Raw genomic sequence first — 24503 nt, 5'->3', positions numbered from 1 at the left:
GCCCTAAGCAGGGCAATGGCTGTGGTGAGCAAGAGTAGGGGATCCCGGGTATGGTCTTGAGTTTGTGGCTAACACATGAGATGTGGGGAAAGCTGCTTTTCTTTTAGGGGGCTCAGTTGTTTCAACTGTCATATGTTGAGACAGCATTAATCAGTGGGCTTCAAACTTTTAAAGCCACCAGATTTTTCCCCCCAGAATGCTGTGGGAACCTAGCATGAATAAATAGTAAAAGTGGGACTCACAGCTTCTCCATTTAGCCACTGTATGTCTGTAGGGCCTCTGTGGACTCTAGTATGGCAACATTCGGATACATACCTTTTAGCCCCCAACACTGGGATTCTAAAGATGAGTAATGGCTTAGTGATAGATGTTAACCTCCTGAGGGGTTGCAGTGAGCCTGGAATTCTGGATACAGAACTGGTCAGACAGGGAAAAGGGCTGTAACAGTGTGACAAACAGTAGAATTAGAGTGGAGGGTAGCAAGATAAAGTTTTACATTTCATGGGTTAACAGCACTTTATAGTTTACAAGTATTTGCACTATAGTTGTCTCTTTTGAACTTACGCAACACTGTGTGCTCAGGCATTTGTGCAGCAATCTTTTGTGAAGCTGGATTATGTGCCTGGTACTGTGGGTTGAGCTCATGGACATAAAGAAAGAGGAGAGCATGTGAGCCTGGAGGAGCTCATCATCTTATAGAGGAAACAGGCAGGTAAAGAAATCATTGCAATTGCAAAACAGAAAAGCTGTAAGAGAGGTGCAAACAAATGTTGAGCAGCGAAGTGAAAGCAATGATTCCTTTTTCCTGGGGAGGGGAGGAAGGCATACCTACCGTGGGGCCTGCAGGATGAGTGACCTAGGCAGATAAATACCTAGGTAGAGAAAAACACGTGCACGAAGCAGTGGAGGCCTGTGTGAGCAAGGTGCGTTTGGGGGAAACAGGAAGAGCTAGGGGAAATCTGGCCTTCAAGGTATGGAAAGGCAGTTAAACAGTGAAGTTAACCTGCAGCTTAACTGGGAAGGACTTTGAATACAATGCAAAGAATTTGGACCCCATGGCCATTAGAGCCCCATCTTCCAGATGAGGAAAAGGGCCTTCCCTTCGCACAGGGACAGCCGAAACTGTGACTCCCACGTTCCTTTTGCTACCCTGTGCTGCCTCCAGCAGGCCTGAACCGAGGCAGGCCCTGCGTGGGAGAGGCCTCTGGGCTGTTTATCCTGCGCCAGTGGGGCTAGCTCTGGCAGGGAGTGGAAGTAGGTGAGGTGGGGGCTGTGGAGGAGAGGAGGAGCCTGACAACAAGGGCTACATTCAAGGCCTGCACTGGAGCTGACGAGGAGAATGGAAAGCTACAGTCTGTTGGAGCCATCCAGCCTTGGCAAAGCGGTCGGGGCCTTATAAGGAAATGTTGTTCTCTCCCAGCCGGTGGGGCTGGGATGGAGCCCTGTGCCCACAGGACAGAGCTGCCCTTGTGGTGGTAGGCTGGGGGTGCCACCCGCCCCTCTGCTGTGAGCAGGAGCTGTCAATGGGCCACTTCTGCAGGCTCAGCATTCCCTCTCAGCCCCAGTGTGCGTGTAGCCCCCACCCCTCCACCCCCTCCCACTCCCCATTGCCTTGGGCTGATTGGAGGAAAGGAAAAAAACAAAACAAAACAAAGACTTGGCAAAGTCCCAGGCCTCATTGCTGTTTGATGCCGAATTATTCGGAAAATAGGCTCAGGTCAAATTCTCTCTTTTTCCTGAAGAATGCATGAATAAGGGGATTGCTCTTTGTCCTCCTTCCCTGCCTGGCGCCCGCATCTCTTTTCCTTGTGATCACGAAACTCCCAGCACCCCACACGGCCCAGTGCAGAAAGCAAGAAGCTGAGATGAGTGGGCGGGGGAAGCCTTGTGCTGGTGCCTTTTCCACCTCCCAAGGGTAGAGCAGCAGCCACCGGAATACTCATAGGAGAAGGGTGACTCTCGGACTCCTTACCTGTGCCGGGCAGACCAGAGGGCCAGGGAGAGAGAGATGGGCACAGGGTAAAAACACAGCCTGCCCAGAAAGCAACAGAAAGTGCTCCTTGGGGTGGGCGCGGTGGCTCACGCCTGTAATCCCAGCACTTTGGGAGTCCAAGGAGGGTGGATCACGAGGTCAGGAGTTGGAGACCAGTCTGACCAACATGGTGAAACCCCGTCTCTACTAAAAATACAAAAATTAGTTGGGCGTAGTAGTGTGTGCCTGTAATCCCAGCTACTCAGGAGGCTGAGGCAGGAGAATTGCTTGAACTCGGGAGGCAGAGGTTGCAGTGAGCCCAGATCGCGCCACTGCACTCCAGCCTGGGTGACAGAGCAACAATCTGTCTAAAAAAAAAAAAAAAAAGTGCTCCTTGGGAAAGGACAGTAAGCATTAGTCAGCTCCTGGAAGGAGGGCTTTTCTACAGGGAGTGAGGAGAGATGATTTAAAGCACTGATCCCTAGCAGATCTTTCTGAACTCAAGATTGGGGATAGGAGCAGAAAAGATGCTTAGTGTGGCCTTTTGCTTTGGCTATTCATAGACCCCGTGCATGAAACCCTGGAGCTACAAGGAAGCAGGTTGGCCAGTGCAGCTCCTCACCTAAAGCTGAAATATTTTTACAGCAAGCTTGGCAGACCTTCAGCTAACCAGTGCTCCTCTAGTCATCATGGACTTAGTTCCTCAAGTTAGTCTGTCCCAAACATACAGCTCAACCCAACAAGGAGAAGTAAGTCATGGAAAGCAAGAGGAAACTTCCGTTTCCAAGGAGTTTACCATCCAGAGCAAAGCTACAAGGAGCACACAATAATCCAAACACAAAGAAGAAAGTTATGGCCAGGTGTGGTGGCTCACGACTGTAATCCCAGCACTTTGGGGGGCTGAGGTGGGTGGATCACCTGAGGTCAGGAGTTTGAGACCAGCCTAGCCAACATGGTGAAAACCTGTCTCTACTAAAAATACAAAAATTAGCCAGGCGTGGTGGCGGGCACCTGTACTCCCAGCTACTCAGGAGGCTGAGGCAGGAGAATTGCCTGAACCTGGGAGGCAGAGGTTGTAGTGAGCTGAGATTGTGCCACTGTGCTCCAGCCTGGGGGAGAGAGTGAGACTTTGTCAAAAAAAAGGAAAGAAAGAAAAAAAAAGGAAAGAAAAAAGGAAGGAAGGAAGAAAGGAAGGAAAGAAAGAAAGAAAAGAAAGGAAATAAAAAAGAAAGTTATGAGCTCTAAGAAAAACAGAGATGTCTGAGGTGAAAGAAATTGCTCTTGACTAGGTGTCCACAGCAGTAGATGAGGAAAGCTCTTATAGAAGAGATGGAATTTGGGGTGAAGAAAAGTTAAAAGTCCAAAAAGTGACATTTTGAGAGATTGTAGGGAAATGGCTTCCAGGGGGAGGAACTAGCCTGAGCAGGACGTGGTGGCAGGAAATCTTGGGGCTCACTTGGTGTCTGTGGGGAGATGGACAAGTGGATTAGTGCAACAGGGAGAGGAGGGGCTGTGGTTGGAGAATGGCTGAGCACCACATTTGGGGGCACTGAATCCCAGAGGGAGGAGGAAATTGAAGTGATTGGCAGCCAGGAGCCACCGAAAGCTTTTAAGCGTGAAAGAGATGTGACCGGTACAGTGGTTCAGCAACTGTGATCTGGTATCAGGCGCAGAAGGGAGAGGCATCCTTCGCCCTGCTTTGGTGAAGCCAGGAAAGTACCACTTCCTGCAGCAGAGCTTTGGCGGTGTTGTGGCCCTTTCCTGAGCACTGGAGGCCTGGCTCTCCAGACAGCCACCTAGATCTCAGGATTTCAAGCACTGCTGCATCTTAGAGGCTGGCTGCTTTTTGAACGAGTGACCCTTCCCCAGAAAGGACTAGGACTGGCCACGTTAGCTCAGTTCTCTTTTTACTTTGAGGCTTGCACAAGTCATTGTGTTCAGATATGGTTAAGAAACCTAAACTTCAATCCCTTTTCAGGACTTGGAGACCTGGCAGGTTTCCAAAAAGCACCCAGGGTTGAAAGGCAAAAGCTCTCGGATGCCATCTTATCTCAAAGAGTCTGTCCTTTGTAAGGCATTCACTATTTAGACACCTGTGCTTGTCTCACACCTGATGATAATAGAGCAGTAACTTCCTCCCCAGCTTTTCCCTCCATGGCTTCTTTCCCTTCCTTTTGGATGCCTGCCTCCATCAAGGCATCACTATTCCTAGGGAGTATGAGGCTTTTGCAGAGTGCTTTGGGCTCCTGTTGCAAAGAGAGCAGGCATAGCTTTTTGTCCCAGAGACAAATCCAAGGTGCTCTGGAGGATAGCAGTGAGTTCCTGTCTGTGTTCTGGATCTGGGTTCTGGCCAGTCTTGCTGTCCCACTGCCCAGCATGGCCAGTTCAGCAATAGAATTCTGAGGGACCTGAACTTGATCTTCACACCTGGCCCCTGCCTCCTAGCCACAGGGCGCTGCAGCTGAGGAGCTGATCATGTGCGTCTTGGTAGCAAATCCTGCTTCCTACCAAACTTTTCTTCCTTGACAATGCAGACAGTGACCCCTGGGACCACAGAGATACAGTTCTAGTCCTGGAGAAACTGGTTGTTCCCCTGTCCTTCCAATAGGTTGTGGTTATGGCTAATTTTGAATTTGTATTAGATAACAATAAATTTACTTCTTCCCTTTTAAGGGAATATATGAGCATTTTATGATGAGATATTATCTTTTTTTGTTTGTTTGTTTTTTGTTTTTTTGAGACAGAGTCTCACTCTGCCACCCAGGCAGGAATGCAATGGCGTGATCTCGGCTCACTGCAACCTCACCTTCCAGGTTCAAGGGATTCTCCTGCCTCAGCTTCCCAAGTAACTGGGATTACAGTCATGCGCCACCACACTCAGCTAATTTTTGTATTTTTAGTAGAGATGGGGTTTCATCATGTTTGTCGGGCTGGTCTCACACTTCTGACTTCAAGTGATCCACCTGCCTCGGCCTCCCAAAGTGTTGGGATTACAGGCATGAGCCACCATGCCCAGCCAAGTGAAATATTATCTTAACTCTTAAGACTGCATTTCAGAATAACTGACTTATATGATGGCTGGCATTCTGTTATGTGAAGCAAAATTCTTCTCAGGACCCTTTGATTTACCACCCAAATTGTCTGCTAGCTAGCTCAGTCTCCAACTCAGAGAAATGTCACTGGCAAATCTCCTCAGTTTTTCATTTTAATTTTACCTAACCATTCATTATTCACCCCATTTATTTGATTTGGTAATAAGCAGTTTAAAATAATCACAAGGTATAAAGGGAATACAATAAAAATGTTCCTCTCAACCTTTCCCCAACTATCTAGATGTCCTCCTTTTCAAAGCCGACCACTATACCATTTTCTTATGTATCCTTCTCCTCTGCGATGTTTTTATACAAGTAATGATCAGGACTTTCCTCATCCAGTAGACAGCTCATGCAAAAAGAAGCAAGCCTGTTCAAACAGAATTCTCCAGGGACAGTTTGTCTCCCAGGTTTGCCTATACAGGGAGCAGAACCCTGATTCTAGATGCCAGATAGAACTCACCTGGCCCAGGTTTCTATAGCACAAGCCCTGATATTCTTTAGCCTGACCCTCAATGAAAATTAGCTGAGGACGCCTGAGCTCACTCTCTGGAATGAGACCTAAATACCATCTCCTGCATAATCTTATAGAAAATGAATGAAACAGAGACTGCACTGTGAGTTCTGGTGCCAATTATAAAGGATCTGGGGCAGGGATCTGGCATCCAGGTGGCTAGAGGAAGAGTCCTGGAGTTTTTAGCATCCTCCCCTCTGGGTCCCATTTCTCTGGTTTTTCATGGTGTGATCTGGACTGAAATGCCCATCAGTTATTCTAGACCCCGACTTACTGATCACAGAGAATCTTTAATCTGTGCTTGTTTACTCTGAAACTGGCATCTCCACTAGTGCTGCAGCTGCTCACCAGACACACCAGAGCACTCTTTCTTGCTGATGATGCTGGAGCACTTTGTTGCTCACTGATCATGCTGGAGCTCTATGTTGCTCACCCATCATCCTGGAGCACTCTCTTGCTCATTGATGATACTGGAGCACTCTGTTGCTCCCTAATCATACTGAAGCTCCATTTTCTCAGTGAGGATCAGAATTCATCATCCCTGGCTGCTCTAGTTCCCACATCCTGGTTGCTGGGAAGGGTTTTAAAACCTCTTACATGGAAAGAGTCCCTTCTTCCTGATTAGAGTCCAAACTGAAAATGGATCCTCTATTTGCAAGCACCACGACACTTCCAGTGCAGCATTAGTAAATACCTCCCAAGCAACAGCAGCCTGGCACATTATTGTTTAGCCACCTCCTGCCCGATATCATGTGGGTTTCACTTATAGAAGGTTCTACAAGGTAAGGGAGGTAGAAACAAGTCAGCACAAACAGAATTATAAATATCTTTATAGTGACAGATATATGAAATCTAATTGGGTGGGGAAAACAGATGCAGATAAACAGCTGGATAAGAATGCAGGTTTGAACCTAGTGAAATACAAAGAGGATGATATAAAAGATAATATTAAAGAAAAAGCTGCCTGTAGGTATTCTACCTTTTGCAATATTTTTTTATTTTCCATAGTCCCATCTGTCTTCTTGTCCATATACAATGCACATTTTTACATAGTTGCAGTCATGTCACAAATACTATTTAGGGTTCTGTGTTTTCGCTTAATATTACATGAATTTGCCGTATTGCTCCAATCTTTCTTTTATGGCTGCAGAAATGCCATTGTGGTGATTCACACCAAGTTTCTTGCCTTTTACCTATTGTTGGAATTTTATGTCTCCAGCTGCTTAGCATTATGGATAATTTTGTAAAGATTATCTTAGGATATTCAGCTTTGTGCTTTTGTTGATTTTCTTAGGATCAAAATCCAGGAGGGAACTGATTTGTAAAGGGGTATGAGGAACAACATTCCCTCTGGTACAAAGCTAACTGTGTTGGGCACAGCTCTAAGCCTCATACTAATCTTACTGGACATAGCTCTAAGCCTCATACTGATCTTACTGGCATGTTGCTCTAAGCCAGTAACTAGCATGTCACCTGGCAACTGAGCAGAAGAACAGAGGTTTACTAGGTCCTGAGGGAGGCTGTTACTGCACAAGTTCTTTGCTGGTGACAGCAGAAAGTACTTAGGGGCCATTCCAAGGGTCTGCCTTGTTTGCAGAGTTGATTCATTTGTGGTTGCCATATAAAGGCCTCTGAACCAACAATTGTTTGGGAGCAAAAGCAAACGAGTGCCAAGATCCAAGTTCTCGTACTGTGGCTGTAGGGTTGAGGGCTGCATAGGGTCGAAAGGTATAAGTCACTGTAATATCAGCGTGGGGACACCATGGGTCTCATCAGTGGTTTTGCCCATGGGCACAGCCCTTGTGGCGGATGTCTAATTGTGTGCAGCCCAGATGTCAGCGGAGGCCCTTGGAGATCCTATTAAACTTGACCCGAACCCCAATGCCAAGCCTTATGAGAGCCTTGAATCCACAGAGCAGTTGCTCTCCGTACCCACACCATATATCATCATGCCTCATTCAGCTTTCATGCCCTCTTATCTAAGAGTGCTGTCTGGTTCTGTCCTGCACCACCCATTCCAGGAACAAAGCCCATTTCCTTCACTTGGTCTTCACAAAAACCCACTTGCATTCAGACGTTTGTGAGTTTGGTAACTTTACTGAAGATCGAGGGTCATGAGGGGAGTCTTCATAGACTCGGCAGCCCTTGCTGTCTTTTCACCTCCTGCCTTCTCTGGTCCTCAACCTCATTCTTCTGAGCAACAGGCACCTGATCCCTGGTCTTCTTTAGTAAAGTTCCCCATACTCAGGTCCCTTCTGTGCCCATCCAGGTATTTTATCCCAAGCAAATAGATATGGCCCCCTGAAGGAAATCCTGGTAGAGAATCTTCCTCTATCTCACCATTTGCTGTCAATAACCATATCTTTACAGGTAGATGGTTAGTGAGGAGTTTTTGGTTTTGTTTTAAATGAGATAAGCTTTACATAAGAGGAGTTGTTTACAGGGAACTTTTACAGATATTATTCCATTCAGGACTCCCAGTAGCCCTGGCAGGTGATTAGTTAGACAGGTGCTATTATCTGAATGTTTGTGTCCTCCCCAAAGTCATGTGTTGAAACCTAAGCCCCAGCGGGATGGTGTTAGGAGATGGGGCCTTAGTGAGGTGATTTGGTCATGAGAACCAGGTCCTCATGAGTGGAATTATTGGCCTTACAAAAGAGGCCCCAGAGAGCTCTCTCACCCCTTCCCACCACATGAGGACACAAGGAGCAGTTGGTAGTCTACAACTTGGAAGATCACCCTCACCAGAAGCTGCCCATGCTGGCACCTGGTCCTGGACTTCCAGCCTCCATATCTGTGAGAAATGAATGTATGTTGTCAATAAGCCACCCAGTCTGTGATAGTGTATTATAGGAACCTGAACAGACGAAAGCAACTGGCATTATTATCCTGGCTTAGAGTTGAGGAGACTGTGGCCCAGAGAAGGGGAAGAACCTGATTGGGGCCACTCAGCTGATTATTGAAGAGCCGGAACCAGAGCCCAGATCTCTACTGGGTTCAGTGCATGATCCTTCTCCACATCATCTTGCCAGGTCAGTTCTAGGAGCCTCACTAAGCTCTAACAGTGGCAAGCATTCAATAAACGCCCACCCAGTAGACATTACCAAGTCCTCACTCTGTGCCTGTTTTCAAGAGTGTAGAGTGAAGAAAGCATGAATAAATTAAGAGGCTTCTTGTTACCCCAGCACCCAACACTTAGTTAAAACCAGATGTGATAGACAAAATATGTTATACCCACACAAAGGAATATTAGTCAGCCACGAAAAGGAATGAAAGAAATACTGATACATGTTACAACATGATTGACCTTGAAAACATGCTAGGTGAGAGAAGCCAGACGCAAACAGCCACAGATTCTATGGTTTCATTTGTACGAAATGTTTAGAATAGGCAAATCCATAGAGACAGAAAGCAGACTAGTGATTGCCAGTCTTGGAAGAGGGGGAAATAGAGTGAGTGCTTAATGGTGTAAGGTTTCCTTTTGGGGTGATAAAAAATGTCTTGTAACCAGATAGAGGTGGTGGTTGCACAATATTGTGGATGTACTAAATGTTACTAAATTCTACACTTAAAATGTTAATTTTATATTATGTGAATTTCACTTCAATTCAAAGTAAAAAAAAACTCAACAAACCAACAAACCAGTGTGACTTCACCCCCCCACCTTCAGCTTTCACCTCCTTGCATGGTTCCAGGTCCTGATGCTCCCTCACTGGACAGGGAATGAACATATGCAGACTCAGTTCTCAATTCTGTCACTTACCAGCTATGCGGCCTTGAGAGTTTATGCCTTTCTCTGGACCTCAGCTTTCTAACCTGCAAGTTGAGGATGTCACCCAGATTTTAACCCAAGTTCCTTCTAGGTAGGCATTCTGAGATATTGGGAGTAAAAGGAAGGATGCAAACCAATTGGGGAGGGGCAGGGGAGGCACTCTGTTTCTTCTGCAACTTTCTCTTCTCAGCTAGTGGACTATAGTAATTTTTAGTTTCCAGTCCCCAGTCACACAGATAGCAGCTTCGGCTCTTGGCTTGGCTGGCACTGCTGGGGCTCCCACTATGCTTCACTGAGCAACGTAAGCCCCTAGGTAATCCTGTTAAGCCACTGGGGTAGTGAGTCATTTCAGTACCACCTGAACACCTTCCTGTGGTGTCCCAGCAAGGAGAGGACCTCCAGCCAGATCATTATGACTTGATCTGCAAAAACTTTTGAAGCATAAATTGGAGCTTTTAATTGCATTGTGACTTGGAAATCCATCATGCCTAAATCAGTGTTCAGAAGAGCTCAAAGTATGCTCATTCATTCATTTATTACCCATCTTCTGTGCCCCTGTTACATCCCAGGTGCTGTGCCAAGCTTTAGGAAGACACAGGTATAGCCACTGTCTTCAAGGAATTCACTGCCCTTTGAGAGAGACGGACTCATAAACCAAAGTAAAATGTAGCATTTACAAAGGTAGTGAAATAAAAGTATAAATCAGGAAAATTAGCAGTTCAGTGGAGAATGAAGGAATAGATTAAAGGGTCAAGAGAGGTCTTTACAGATGAAGTAATATGCTGAGTTTTCAAGAATAATAGGGGACTTCCATGTTCTAGTGGTGCTCCAGGGAGGATGATGGTTACAGTAGTCTACTCCAGTAGGGAGAAGCATTTTTTTAATCACTGTTGACGTTTACAATTGCCAGTGCAAGATGACAATAAAAAGATGTCTAAATTTTAGGCTGTCTTATTGATTTTTAAATTCCTAGAAATAATGCATCTTCTTATTGCCTAAACTAGGATAGATTACTCCTCCCACTGCTACCAAGTACAGAGGATGTGGAAGGGCATTCAAAACACAAGGATCAACATGTGTCAAAAGTTTTGAAGGATGAAACTTTAGAGTGTGTTCATGAAGTGGCAAGGAGTTTGATATAGCGGGACATAAAATATTTGGAAAAAGTGAGCTGAGTAAGAGCTGAAAATGAAGCTGGGTTCATTTTTTGAGGGCCCAAGATACGGTGTTAAATTTGAGTTTTATTCCAGAAGGCACTGGGGAGCCACAGAGGGTGGTCAGCAAAAGCATGATATAATCAACTTTCTTGTTGATGTAGCACTTTGGCAGCTGTGAATGGATAAGATGGGTCGAGAATGAAGGAAGGAGGCTGGCCAGGAGGCCCTTTCAGCCATTTGGGAGGGAGATGATGAGGGTTATGCCAAAGCTGTGTCAGAGGATGGGAAAAGGGGGCTGAGCTCAAGAGATATGTAGGGGTTAAACTCCAAGGGACTAAGAGTCTGATCAGAGCTGGGGGTGAGCAAAGAAATGTCTAAATAATAATTTCTATTTCTCCTTGCAAATGTCCTGCGAATGTCGGAGTTGGAAGGGATGTTTGGGACCACCTGCTCAACCGTCTTTGTAGCCCAGAGAAATACAAGGTACTGCCCAAGCTCAGGAGTTGAAGGCAGAGTCAGGATGGGATCTGTTTTCCAAGTTCCCAGCCAGGGCTGTCTCTTCCACTGTGGCTGCTCTCCATGTGCTGGTGACCTTCCCTTGATCCCACCCCTGCTCGTCAGCAGAACAGTGACTGGATAGAGAAGCCTTGAGTTCTCGTTCTTAACACTGCCCCGAAACAGTGACTTGAAGGAAGACCCTGCCTTCTTTGAGCTTCTGTCTTCTTATTTGTAAGTGAAAGGCTTGTCAAAGAGGAACTTTTCCATTTTTAATTCCTCTTGCTTCTGATTTTCTTTCTTAATTTTGCCATAGTCCCTACCATTTCTTCTTGCCTTACATTAGGCCCACTTCACTCATTTCTGTCTGGATCTGAGCTCTGAGCTCTGACCTAGATCCCTTCTGGAGGCCCTGGCACTCACTACTAGCCTGTCCTGCTTGTCTCTGAGCAGTCAGGCCATCCACAGCAGAGGGGATTGTCTTTCCGAGCTGCACATTCCTGGGCTGGGCCACCATCCTCTCTCTCAGAAAAATTACGTCTTTCTCTGCAGGTGCTCTGCCTGGACTGTGTATTGGAGAGCAAAGGAACTGAATGCTACGCATTGCGGATTTGGATACCATGTCTGCTGAGCTCAGGTGTGCTCTGGTCATGCTCTTTCGCAAGGAAATGGCTTCAGGACCTGGGACCTAAGTCCCAGTGTGAGTCAGATTCCTCAGGGTGCTTGAGCTTTCTTTGCCTGTGCTCTTGGGGCACACCAGCCTATAGGGTCAGGTGCCTTAGGGGTAGATCTCAAAAATAGAAAGCTGTTAAGGTGAGCTTTCTCATCAAGCTCTCTCTCACCTTCCTGCCCCAACCTTCTCAAGTGTCAAGAGACGAGAGAGACTCAGAATTGGGGAAGGAGAAATGGGGAGTTCTCAGAGGCCCTGGAGCCACCCTTTCAGCCAATGCAGAATATCTTCACCACCAAACTGCCCCCCCCAACCCCCGAAAACCCTGGCTTTCCTCTCCTGTATTCCTGCGCCCTTCATTTGAACAGTTTATACACCTCCTGTATGACTGTGCAGGGCAGCTGTCTTGTCCTATTTTAAACTTGTCTTCCACACAATGATGAAAGTTGCCTTTTTGTAACTTCCAATGATTGCTCCTCTCAGAACGTACCAAATCCCTGTCTTGCAAGACAGTCTTTTGAGTATATAAAAACAGATCATGTATCTAACTCCCATTCAACTACTTTTCTGCCAATTAAACTCAACCAATTCATATGTGGTATAGTTGCCATATTCTTAGGATGTGGTATCTCCCAAAGGGCAATGATTCTAGGTATGGTTTAACTAACTTCTGTAGCAAGAAAACCACAAATGCCAGTGGCTTAACACAAAAGCGGTTTCTCTCTTATGTGACAGTTCCTGGTCAGTGGGTGGTTTTCTTCCATGTAGTGATTCCAGGCCTCAGGGACCTGTTATCTTAAATCTCTGCTATCCCCTAGGCACTGCCCTGTAGCCCTCTCAATGATCCTGCTGGCAGATGGAGGGACAGAGAGTGGAGGAGGCACAAAAAGTGACATTTGATCTTCCACTCTGATTCCACTGGTGAGACCAGTCCTATGGTATCTCCTTCCAGAAACATGGATTGGGAAATACAGTCCCTGGCTAGCCTGCTCCCCCATTGGAGACAACTCTACACAGTGAGAGTGGGGGACATTTGAAGGAAAGCAGGCCATCTTTGCCACACTAGGCACCTCTTCCACCTCCCACTTCTGAGCAGCCAGCATGGACGACCTGCTAGATGCTGGGTGGACCAGGGTGGATGGGTGCGTTGGGGGTGTGGAGGGGAGGGCAGGTGTGTATTTCTCCCCTCTTGTGTCTAATTGGTAAGCAGTATTTTCTTGAACTTCAGTTCTGCAAACATTACTTTTGAGATCTTTGCTATATCTGCATAACACCTGTACTATAATTGACTTAATATTCTCTTTACACTGATTCACTTTTTAATTTAGTTTCACCTGAAGGGTAATATCTGGGAAATCATAGTTTTGATATGATAATTATACTTTTCCCAATATGTTCTAAAATGGATATGTAATTATTTTAATATAAATATTTGCAGATATACCACCTCAAACAAACAAGATACCACTGGTGGGTACATTGCACATTTTAAGAAATACTGTGATTGAGCCTGTATAAATCCCTCATAATCTGGTCCTTGGCTTTCTTTCTGACCTTACATCCTGCCTCTTCCCTCTTGCCCATGATCCTCCAAATACATGGACTTATTTGTTCTTCAAGCCTGCAAGCTCGTTCCTACTCCAGGGCCTTTGCACCAGCTGGTACCTCCATGGGAAATACTTTCTGTACATCTTCCCATGTCTGGTTCTTTCTAGACATTCAAGACTTAGCTCAGATGTCCCCTGCTCAACGAACCACCCAGTCTTTACCAGCTGCCTCACACCTCACTTCATTCCACCCTGCACAATCACTCTTTGTTTCAGTCCCTTTAAGCACTTTTCAAGATCTGGCATGGTGTGCTTATTTGTTGATTTATTTATTGTCTCTGTAACCCTAGTAAAATATAAATTCCTTAAAAGCAGGGATCTTACCTATCTTGTTTACCTCCACTTTCCCGGCACTTAGCACAGGGCCTGGCACATAATACTTACTCCATAAATATTTGCTAAGTGAATAAAAATGAGAAAAATGAACATAGACACCTAGTTCACTAATCAAATGAGAATTAAAATAAAGTTTTTTCTTTCAAATATTTTTTATTGAAATGACAATCAAATAAAAAAAGAACAGTGATCAATTTAAGCAAATTTTTACTTTCTAAATATAAAAATATAACCAAAACTTATTTCTTTTATACATTTTCCATAAATGTAATACCAGAAAAGTTCTCAAAGCCAAACTATAAATGATGCTTGTGTACTATGATGTGAAATAAATTTTTTTTAGCAGCTTGGTTATCCTTGATATGCATTTGGTAAACGTTTGTAGAAAGCACCTTGGAGATGAGGTCATACGAGGCCTCCCATTTCACCCATGAACTGCAGGCATTTGGGCCTGCAGTATGCAGGCCATCTGACTTACTTGCCAGCCAGAAAGAGAAAAGCTGGACAAGATAGATTGGTAAGCCAGACTTGCCTCTGGAAGACAGACCCTGGGTTCACTTGTGCAAAGGTTGCAGGAGGCTGGGAGAGGAGGGGCCAAGGATCCAGTCATCCATGCGTGGGGCCACAAGCAGCCTCAGTGGCCCAGGGAGCAAACATGTGTCCCGAGGCTGTCAGCCTCCACTGATTAGATTGGCTCCTGCTCCTCCTTCGTGAGAGGTGGGATAAACCAAAGGATGCTGAAAAAACCCAGAAGTGTCCAATCCATATGTTGGCATGGGAAATAGAAAGGGGATTAAAAGTCACTTTACTTATGGAACTATGAAGAAGGTGAACATGCTTTTCCTTGCAGAATGATCAGTCCACAAAAGACATGTAAGATGAGGGCAACAGCCAATAGAACCCACTCCCTCTTTCTGCAGAAACACAGTTGTCATGAATGCTGTGATGCGGCCCCCCTGAATGCCCTTTGGAACTGAGGGACTCATTTCTGCTACTCAGTACTGCTGGGATCACAGCTGAATCTCTTCCTAGGAATTGCCGTAGCCTGAAGGGAGCTGCCTTACCCAAGGTGAAACCTCCATCCTAGGCACAGATCCCATCCAATGACTAGTTGATGTAGGGATGCAGAGACCTGACCCCGTGGCTTCAATCCCAGACAATTCTGAAAAGCCACACCAGCTCCTGACCAACCACAGTGCATTCAACCTCTCCTGCCACCCAATCCTGCTTCCCTCACTCCTTTGCATTCCCAATAAACTCCCTGCTCACGAAGCTTCATCTCAGAGTCTGTTTCCCAGGGAACCCTAGGGCAACTTGTGTTGTCCCTAGTTGACTGTGTCCTCCACAATCAGTTGCCATATTGTTTAAGTGAGAACCAAGTTCTCACCAGTTTTTTACTAAGTTTGTTTCTTGTACGTGAAGATGAGACAAACCATATCCAAATAAGTGTTGGTGCACCTGAAAGAATGGTGGGTTATTCCCTTAAAATTACTTGAGATAATAAAAGTTAAAACTACAGGAAGATAACAAAAATAGCCAAGTGAAGTAATATATGTAAAACAGTTGACATTTCCCAATCTGTTTCACACAAAGCTTTGGACCCCATTTATGTGCCAGTCCATTTCTGCGTCCCCACTGCCTCCACGCCTGCGGCTCACTTAGGGGAATGTCTCGGAGGCTGATACCTTTCTGGCATCTCCTACTACTGCCAGCTTCCTCAGTCATCCCCACCCCACTCAGGAAAGGGCTGGGCTGTGGCATGGCCTCTGCCACACCTGCTGGATGGGAGCCGTGCTATCACAGCTCCAGTGCTAGAACCAACCAGATGGGACCATGTTGCTTTCCTCCTTCCACCAGATGATGACTCACATCTTGCTTCCCCAGGGCTGCTCAGAGGAGTAGGGTGATACCACGGAGATCCAGGAGAGTTAACTCTCCATGAGATGAAGTTTGCCCCATGTGAGAAGGGAGGCAGAAGGGAGGTGACTATCACACCCTCACCTTTCTTCCAGCTCCTCCCTGCTCCAGCAATATTCTGTATTGCAGTGGTTCCCTCAAGGACAATATCTCACAAGAATGAGTCATTGGCCACATTCCCTGGTGGTGCTGTGGCCAGTGTGGTCCTCACCTTCTTGCATTTTTCCCCCCTCCTTTCTGCCTCCCTCCCTTCACCCTTATTCTTGCTGCCTGGAATTATGCTGTCTCAGAAAGCAGCAGCATGTCAGCTTTGCTTCAAATTTTCCCCAGATAATCCAGGTGAAGGCATGGGCATTAACTTATTTGATTGGTTTTCACAAAAAGTCATCCTCTGGGGGGTTAGAATTATTGCTGGTATTTTTCAGTTGAGTAGACTAGGGGTAAAATAAACTGCCTGAGGCCAAAGCTGCACAGGAGGTGGTAGATCAGGGCTCAGTCTGCGTTCTGGCTCCAAATTTGCTGTTTTCCTTACACTTGAATTTAAGTTTCCATCAAGAGTTATACAACCAAGGAACTATATCTGCTCCTGTAAAGGCAGTATTTAGGGGTGGGGTGGGGTGGGTGTGAGGGTGTGCAGGAATCACTAGAAAGGACATAGAAAAATCTCCCGCAGGAGGTGGATGAATTGAGATGATAGTCCCATGGGCTCCACTTCCTGTCTTTCTATCCCAAACTTTCACTTTCCGCAGGTTCAACATCAAATGTGCATTTTTAGGCTCATGAGAGTAAAGAAAATACTGTTGCCATGCGTATGAGTTTCCTAGGGTGGTTTAAAAGGAAGAGACTATTCTCTCAAAGTTCTGGAGGCTACAGGTCCTAAATCAAGGTGTCGGCAGGACCATGCTCCCTCTGGAGGCTCCAGAGGAAAATTTATTCTCTGCCTCTTCCTGCTTGTGGGGGTTGTCAGCAATCTGACTTGCCAACAGTCTTCCCTTCGCTTTCCTCCTATGTGTGCTCTCATTATCTTGCTTTGCCTTTATCTGATAAGAACACTTGGAATGGCATTGAGGATCCTCACATTTAACCCACAGAAAGCACATCTCAAAATAATTAATTTAATTACATCAGCAGTGACCCTTTCATTCCAAAAAGGTAATATTGACAAATTCCAGGGATTAGAACTTGATATATTTGGGTGGCCATTATTCAACTTGCTATGCTTGATAATAGGCTAATTTGCCTGGAGACATCAGTGTGTCCTTAAACAGGCTTAGAAACAGTTCTGAGTGTTCCTCAACATTACATTAGTTGTCTTACCGGCTGGTGCAGGGGAGGAGTCCTCTGGGCTGTAGAGGTGGCTGAAGCCAAGCTTTCTGCTTTTCCAGTAGTGAGCTAACAGGGGCACTGAGCAGAATTTACCCTGCCCAACCCTCTGAGCCCTAGGTAGGGAGGTCTGTGATGTTGTCTTGATGGTGCATGATTCCCCTACTGCTGGGACCACAGAGGATCCCTGGGCTGTATTGCCTTTGTTTGAATTTTCAGTTGCTGTCAATCACCCTGAGCCAATATTTATATTTCACAGAACTATCTCATGGCAACTTTTAGAGGAAAGAATCTTTCTAATCACAAATATTTGCAGTACGTGACCTTGTTGCACTTTGGCCAGTGATGTTGAAAAATGGGTCATGTGCAGCCCGGAGGTCCCCTACAGATATGTCTGTTTGAACAGTTTCCTGGCAGTACTGTCTTCTTAGGGCTCTTGTGGAGATTACTGAGGTGCTGAATAAAAAAGAGAACAAACTGTGCCTGAGGGCCAGATGCCATGCAAAGAGAGTCTTAGCAAATGCCAACTTCCTTCTTTTATTTATTCTTAGGCTGCTTCCTCTTCATTTTCTTCAGGGGCTACATTTGATTATATTAATTAGCGTATTTTTTCCTCAAGTTCTCTACCCAACTCCCAACCCTTTAGTTCCAGCAGTTAATATTACTTTTAATTTCTAGAAAATTGAGGCACTGGAGTAAATTCCCTTAATTGGGGCCTCCCTCACCTTTACTCTGTCACCTGCAAAGGTACCTTCGTGCTCATCCGTTCTCCCTTCTTTCAGTCTTAGAACTATTTAAAGCCACGTCTTATACTGGCATGGAGGGTTAGCCATTCTTATGTCCTCTAGGTCTTCATTCCATCAGTTAGTTCCTTGCTCTCTCTTTTCCAGAGTGGCTCCATTAAAATGTAATTAATGTACCATAAAAGTCACCCCTTTAAAGTGTAAAATAATATTTGTAGTACATTAATGAACTTTTGATTTAATAATCACTACCCAATTCTAGAATATTTTCAGCATCGGAGAAAGAAACTCAGCACCCACTGGCAAATCTCTCTCCATTTCCACTCCCTTCCCACCCCCAGCCCCCAGCTTTGGGTAAACACTTAGCTACTTTCTGTCTCTATAGTTTTTCCTATTCTGAACATTTCATATCAGCGAACTCATACAATAAGCCATCTTTCCTAAGTGGCTTCTTTCACTTAACAAAATAGTTTCAAGGTTTATCCATGTTGTATCACACATCAGTATATCATTACTTTTGATGTATAAATAATATTTCACCACATTTTGTTTATTTATCAGTTCATTAATATTTGAATTCTTTCCATGTTTTGGCTATTATGAATAATGATTCATATACAAGTTTTTGTGTGGGCATGTTTTCTCTTCTCTTTGGCATATATCTAGGAATGGAACTGCCAGGTCATATGTTAACCATATATTTAACATTTTTAGGAGTGATCAAACTTTTCCAAAATGTCTACACCATTTTACATTCCCACCAACAATGCATAGGGGCTCTAATTTTTCATCATCCTTACCAACATCTATTATTACCTTTTTGATCACACATATGCTAGTGTTGTGAAATGGTATCCTATTGGGTTATTGATTTTCATTTTCCCAATGACTAATGATGTTTTCTTAGTCATTTTGTGCCGCTGTAATAGACTACCAGAGACTGGGTAATTTGTAAAGAAAAGTTTCTCACAGTTCTGGAGCCTGGAAAGTCCAAGATTGAGGTGATGGCATCCAGTGAGGGCCTTCTTGCTGTGTCATAACGTGAAAAAAGTCACCACATGGGCAAGAGAAAACAACAGAGAGGGCCAAACCATCATTTATAATGACCCGCACTCTTGAAATAATGAACCACTTCTATGATAATGGCATTAATCCATTCATAAGGGCATTCTCTCATGATCTAATTACCTCTTAAAGATCCCACCCCTCAAGATTATTGCATTGGGGATTAAGTTTTCAACACATCAACTTTGGGGGACACATTCAAACCATAGCAGATATTGAACATGTTTTTATGTGTTTATTGGCTATTTGTATATCTTTAGAAAAACATCTGTTCAGATGCTTTTTCACTTAAATATTGTGTTTTATTTTTATTATTGAGTTGTGTTTTATATCTATATTCTGGATTCTAGTCATTTACCAGATACATGATTTTCAAATATTTTCTCTCATTGTGAGGATTATGTTTTGCACTTTCTTGGTTGTCTTTCCACTTTCACATTTTTTGCTTTTACTTTATTGTACTTTTAAAAGCGCAGAAATTTTTAATCTTGATAAAGTCTAATTTTTTTTTATTCTGATTGTTGTTGCTTATGCTTTTGGTATCCTATCTGAGAAACCATTGCCCAATCCAAGAGCACAAAGATTTACTCAGGTTTTCCTCTAAGATCTTTTATAGTTTTGCTCTTCCATTTAGGTCTGTGATCCATTTTGAGTTAGTTTCTGTATACAGTATAAATTAGTGGTTCAAATTTATTAATTTTTTTTGCATGTGGCTATCTAGTTGTCACAGTGCCAGTTGTTGTAAAGATTTTTTTCCTCTCATTAAATGGTCCCAATATCTTTGTCAAAAATCAATTAAACCTGAAGATGAGGGCTTATTTCTAGATTCTCAATTTTATTCTATTGATATATAAATCTAGTTTACTTTAGTACATCCTGTCTTATTACAGTGCCTTTGTAGTAAGTTTTGAAGTCAAGACATGTGAGTCCTCTAATTTTTTTAAAGATTGTTTTACTTATTCTGGGTGATTTGCATGCCTTACGAATTTCAGGATCAACTGCCAATTTCTGCAAAAAGCTAGCGGAAATTCTGAAGGGGATTGCATTGGATCTGTAGTTCAGTTTGGGGAGTGAACTACAGTTTTAAATATTTTGTCTTTTGATCCATGAACATAGAATGTCTTTTCATTTGTTTAGATCTTCTTTAATTTCTTTTAATGATGTTTTATAATGTTCATTGCGCAAGTCTTGTCTTAGTTTTGTTAAATTTATTCTTAATAATTTTATTACTTTTGATGTAAATAAAATTATTTTCTTAATTTCATTTTTAATTTTTCATCAATTATATATAGAAATAGAATTGATTTTTGTAAGATTTTGTATCCTGCTGCCTTGCTGAACTTGGTATTAGTTCTAATAAGTTTTTGTGGGTTACTTAGGATTTTGTATATACGTCATTTGTGAATAGATAGTTTTACCTTTTCCTTTTCAATATGAATATGTTTCATTTATTTTTCTTACCTAATTGTTCTAGCTAAAATCTCTAGTACAGTACAAATAGAAATGAAGAATGGGCATCCTTGACTTGTTTATCATTTTAGAAAGGAAATGTTCAGCCTTGATCATTAAGTATGATGTTAGCTGAGGTATTTATAGATGCCCTTTATCAGATTGAGGAAGTAATCTTTTATTCCTGGTGCATTGAGTGTCTTTATCATGAAATGGTGTTAGATTTTGGCAAAGATTTTTCTGTGTATATTGAAATGGTAATTTGTTTCTTTATTCTATTAATACAACTTTTTTTTTGGCAGGGGGCGTTGGGATGGAGTTTCACTCTTGTTGCCTAGGCTGGAGTGCAGTAGCACAATCTCGGCTCACTGCAACCTCCGCCTCCCAGGTTCAAGCGATTCTCCTGCCTCAGCCTCCTGAGTAGCTGGATTGCAGGTGCCCACCACCACGCCTGGCTAATTTTTTGTATTTTTAGTAGAGATGGGATTTGGCCATGTTGGGCAGGCTGGTCTCGAACTCTTGACCTCAAGTGTTCTACCTGCCTCAGTCTCCCAAAGTGCTGGGATTACAAGTGTGAGCCACCGCACCCGGCCAATACAACTTTCATGTGTTGACCCAACCTTGCATTCCTGGGATTAATCCCATTTGGTCATGATACATAATCCTTTTTATATGTTGCTAGAGTCTCTCTCTTACATCTTTAATGTTTTTCTGGACTGATTCCTTTCCTTTAGCTAATAAGCATGCTTAAATTTTTTTCAAAACAATAGAGAAACAAACTTACTCTTGGGCCCAAGCAACTTTTTTCTTTTCTTCCATTTTATTCTAACTTTGGAAAGGATTACCCTCTTTTTAGATAAACACTAATTCATCTCTTAACCATAATGAAAGTTGCTTGCATTGAGATTTGAAGGACATTCTAACTGCCAAAGTCCATGAACACTTTTCAGCCCCTACTTTATCGAACTTTAGTAGCATTCTACAGTTTATCATTTCCTTCTCTTTTGAAATATTCAAATACCTGGAGTTCTTTTGTATCTTTTTTATCACGGCTTCTTGTTCTTCTTTGGGATCACTTCTTCCCCTGATTATCAAATACTGCTGCCCCTTAAGGTTTTGTCTTTGGGCACATTTCTTCTCATTTTATAGGAAAATCTCATAGACTCTCATAGTTTTTACTATTATCTGCATACTGATGAATACTAAATTGTTATCTTTTCTTATATTCAGCAAGGTATATCCAATCACATTCTAGACATCTCCCCTTGAAAGTCCTACAGGCTTATCAAATTCAAGAACTCAAAACAAAACTTTGTAGCTTCCTTATACTGCCCAGCCTGTTCTTCAGATGCGAACATTTGAAATTTAGGTAAATTTAAACAGCTCCCTAAATGAGGTGAGAATTGCCATAGCTTACTGATACAAGTCGCCTTTTCATTGGTGTGAAATGCTGTGTTGTAGAAAGAGATAATTTAACATTTCCTATCCTCAGAAAGCTTTTAGTCTTAAGCAAGAGACAGAAATAGACACAGATGACTATATTCCAAGGCAATAGCAAAAAAAAAAAAAAAAAAAGAATTATAATAGAAACTCAAAGGTGGATGAGTTCGATTCTTCCAGGGCAGGTGGAAGATGGGAATGTAGAGGCTTCATAGAGATGGTGACTTCTGAACTGGGACAGGAAGGTGAGTGGGACTTAGACAGATGGGGCAGGGTGGTGGTGAATTGGCTGAGCTGTTATGGGGGATAAAGCCAGTGTGCAAGGAGGAGCATATGGTTTGATGTGTCTGGTAGGAGATAGGAGGAACATAGCAGGTGTCAAGGTAAAGGCCAGAATTTGAAGCATCTTGAATGCCACCAAGGGAAATTTGAGATGCATTCTGTAGACAGGAATAACTAATTGAAGCTGTTAATCATGGTAGTGACAGGGTCAGAGTCACATTTTAGGAACATTCAAGGAGTACTATTCATTTAATGTTTGCATGCATTATTTTTAAGTTATTCCTAGGCACCTCAGAGTAGTGAAGGGGAAAAGGTCTTGGGAGAGCACTGTCATTGTTTCTGTTTTGGAGGCTGTGATTCTTATATTTGAAAATAAGAAGACAATGAAGCAGCATTGGATATTAACTTGTCAAAGTTCAGCCATCTTTGCCAGAGGCATCTTCCTCCCACACCCCTACGGCATTGTCCTTTGCCAAAACTGAAATATGTGTCACTGTGTCCTGGAGGCAGAATGAAAATATATACATTAAACAAACAGGAAGAAACACATGAAGAAAAACCCACCAACAGTTATTACATGGCAGGTGTACAGACTCTTCCCCACTCAACAGCACTCCCTAGCATGACATCCTGTAATGTTGCCAGGGCGTGGGTAAAGAGGGGTTTTCTCAGCATACAGAACACAAAATTCTTCTTTACATACTTTATGTTCTGCTCCAGGGCCCCCTCTTCCCTGAAGACTCTTCTCTTCCCCAGTAGGAAGCAATCTCTCCATTCCCTGCTTTCACATGACTCTGATAGCTATAAAATTCGTGTGGCATTTGTTCCCAGGCTGCTGGTGAAATCCTGAGGACAGGGCCTGTGTTGTCCTTTGCTGTATTCTTCATGGTGTCCAGAAGAGAATCTGGTGTCCAGGCTCCTTTGAGCAGTAATCTGCAGAATGTGCCCAGCCTGGGGAAATATAAAGAACAATATTTTGAAGAGTGTGAAGAAAATATTCAAAGTTTTATTTATACCTATTTTTAACTCCAAATAAGAAACAAATTAACCCTTATTATTCTTTAATGTATAGATTTACGGAAGTGTATACATATAAATATAAAAATATAAATAAATGTATTGAGGTGAATGCACACATTTTCTTCTTGGTGGAGTTTGATTTAAAAAAATGTTTTGAGATCATTGCTCTAGTGCTGAATTAATAATTGCTGCTTGAAATATTTAGTAACTCTAAAGAGTTTAGCTTTAAATAGGAAAAGTTATTGCCAAAGACAAATGTAGGTCATTCATTTATTCTTGCCAACAAACACAAATATTAAAAACAGTGTCCTCTTTTTTTTTTTTTTGGAGACGGAGTTTCTCTCTTGTTTCCCAGGCTGGAGTGCAGTGGCGCCATCTCGGCTCACTGCAACCTCCGCCTCCCGGGTTCAAGCGATTCTCCTGCCTCAGCCTTCCGAGTAGCTGGAACTACAGGCATGCGCCACCACGCCTGGCTAATTTTGTATTTTTAGTAGAGACGGGGTTTCTCCATGTTGATCAGGCTGGTCTCCAACTCCCGACCTCAGGTGATCCACCCGCCCCGGCCTCCCAAAGTGCTGGGATTACAAGTGTGAGCCACCGTGCCCAGTTAAACAGTGTCTTCTATGTGCCAGGCATTGTGCTGGGCTCTGAGGGTTGTTTGTTTAAAGATGACACCTCTGATATTGACATGTGGGAGGGCTTTGAAGAAGTTTTAACCCCACATAATATAATAGCAGAATGTGAGTAAGGAGCATATAGTGAAATGGGCACTCATATTGCCTCCTGGGGATAGGGGGCTGGGATTTTGGCATAACTTTTCTGGAGGACATTTTGACAAACATACTGAAGACTTTTTAAAAGTTCACACCTTTGACCCAGTAATTTTACTTCCAAACATTTTCTAAAGCATAATTAAGAATTTATGCAGATATTTATCTACAAGAGTGATTATCATATCATTTCGAAAATTGAAAAATCAGAAACAACCCAAATGCTCAACATGGTATTCCTTATGTAATATGTGTTCTATGCATTCAATGGAACGCAACCCAACCATTAAAACTTGGTATGGAGATGCATATTTCATCACACTGAAAGTTATTTACAGCATTTTAAAACTAAAATTGGTTATACATTATTATATAATACAAAATGATTCTATTAATATTTATCCATATGGAAAAAGATTCAAATGAAGTGTGCTGAGACTTTTTTTTTAGTTTTGGTTTTAAAATTGACATGCTGTAAAGTACAGTTTTATGGGTATAAGCTATGTATAGATTTATATCACCACCAAAACAATTAGGACAGACAGTTCCGTCACCTCAACAAAACCTTGTGCTGTCCTTTGGAATCATACCCTCCCTTTACTTGTAAGCCCCAGCAACCACTGATATGTTCTCTGTTGCAATAATTTTGCCTTGTCCAGAGTGTCATATAAATGGGTTCATACAGTACGTAACTTTTAAAACCTGACTTCTTTCAGTCAGTGTAATGCCTTTGAGATATGTGTAGTAATAGTTCTTATTTTTGCTGAAAAATATTCCATTATATGACTGTACCATCGTTGCTTATTCATTCATCTGTTCAAAAGCATTTGAGCTGTTTCCACTTTGTAGGTATTATGAATAGAGGTGCTATAAACATTT

The 24503-nt window shown here is 43.1% G+C and overlaps 1 long non-coding RNA gene across 1 annotated transcript in view, besides 2 other annotated features; it reads left to right on the top strand.

Moving 5' to 3' along the window:
- Nucleotides 592–1564: an enhancer, noted in NCBI's record as "H3K27ac-H3K4me1 hESC enhancer chr3:187769983-187770955 (GRCh37/hg19 assembly coordinates)". NCBI's record gives its function as "activates a minimal SCP1, AML or CMV promoter by ChIP-STARR-seq in naive H9 embryonic stem cells {active_cell/tissue: H9 hESC(naive)}" and the evidence as "EXISTENCE:reporter gene assay evidence [ECO:0000049][PMID:30033119]".
- LOC107986166 (uncharacterized) overlaps nucleotides 11162–24503 on the top strand; it is a 48325-nt gene continuing 34983 nt past the window's right edge. Inside the window, exons 1-2 of the long non-coding RNA XR_001741061.2 lie at nucleotides 11162–11236; nucleotides 11555–11641. This is a non-coding gene — a long non-coding RNA (uncharacterized LOC107986166). The remainder of the gene's footprint in view (nucleotides 11237–11554; nucleotides 11642–24503) is intronic.
- Nucleotides 17004–17298: an enhancer, noted in NCBI's record as "tiled region #10187; HepG2 Activating DNase matched - State 5:Enh". NCBI's record gives its function as "activates a minimal TATA promoter and a strong SV40 promoter by Sharpr-MPRA in HepG2 cells {active_cell/tissue: HepG2}" and the evidence as "EXISTENCE:reporter gene assay evidence [ECO:0000049][PMID:27701403]".

The sequence above is a fragment of the Homo sapiens genome, chromosome 3, assembly GCF_000001405.40.
Source record: "Homo sapiens chromosome 3, GRCh38.p14 Primary Assembly".
Classification (NCBI taxonomy): Eukaryota; Metazoa; Chordata; class Mammalia; order Primates; family Hominidae; genus Homo; species Homo sapiens.
The sequence above is the reverse complement of the archived record's forward strand: the minus strand, read 5'-3'. Positions and strand labels throughout refer to the sequence as shown.